Raw genomic sequence first — 211 nt, 5'->3', positions numbered from 1 at the left:
CTTCATTCCTCTCAGTGTCACTTAGGTTATTTATAAAAGAAAGAGGTTGATATAAATGAATTCAATTTTTTTCTCTTCTATTATATAGTACTTTGTGACCACATGTGAGGTTGAAATACAATAAAATGTTAATTTTGTGTTTTTTATTTTCTTCTGATAGCAATTAAAATATGCAGCTATCTCCATATTTCAAGTCCAATTTACTATAGTA

The sequence above is a fragment of the Homo sapiens genome, chromosome 8, assembly GCF_000001405.40.
Source record: "Homo sapiens chromosome 8, GRCh38.p14 Primary Assembly".
Lineage (NCBI taxonomy): Eukaryota > Metazoa > Chordata > Mammalia > Primates > Hominidae > Homo > Homo sapiens.
The sequence above is the reverse complement of the archived record's forward strand: the minus strand, read 5'-3'. Positions refer to the sequence as shown.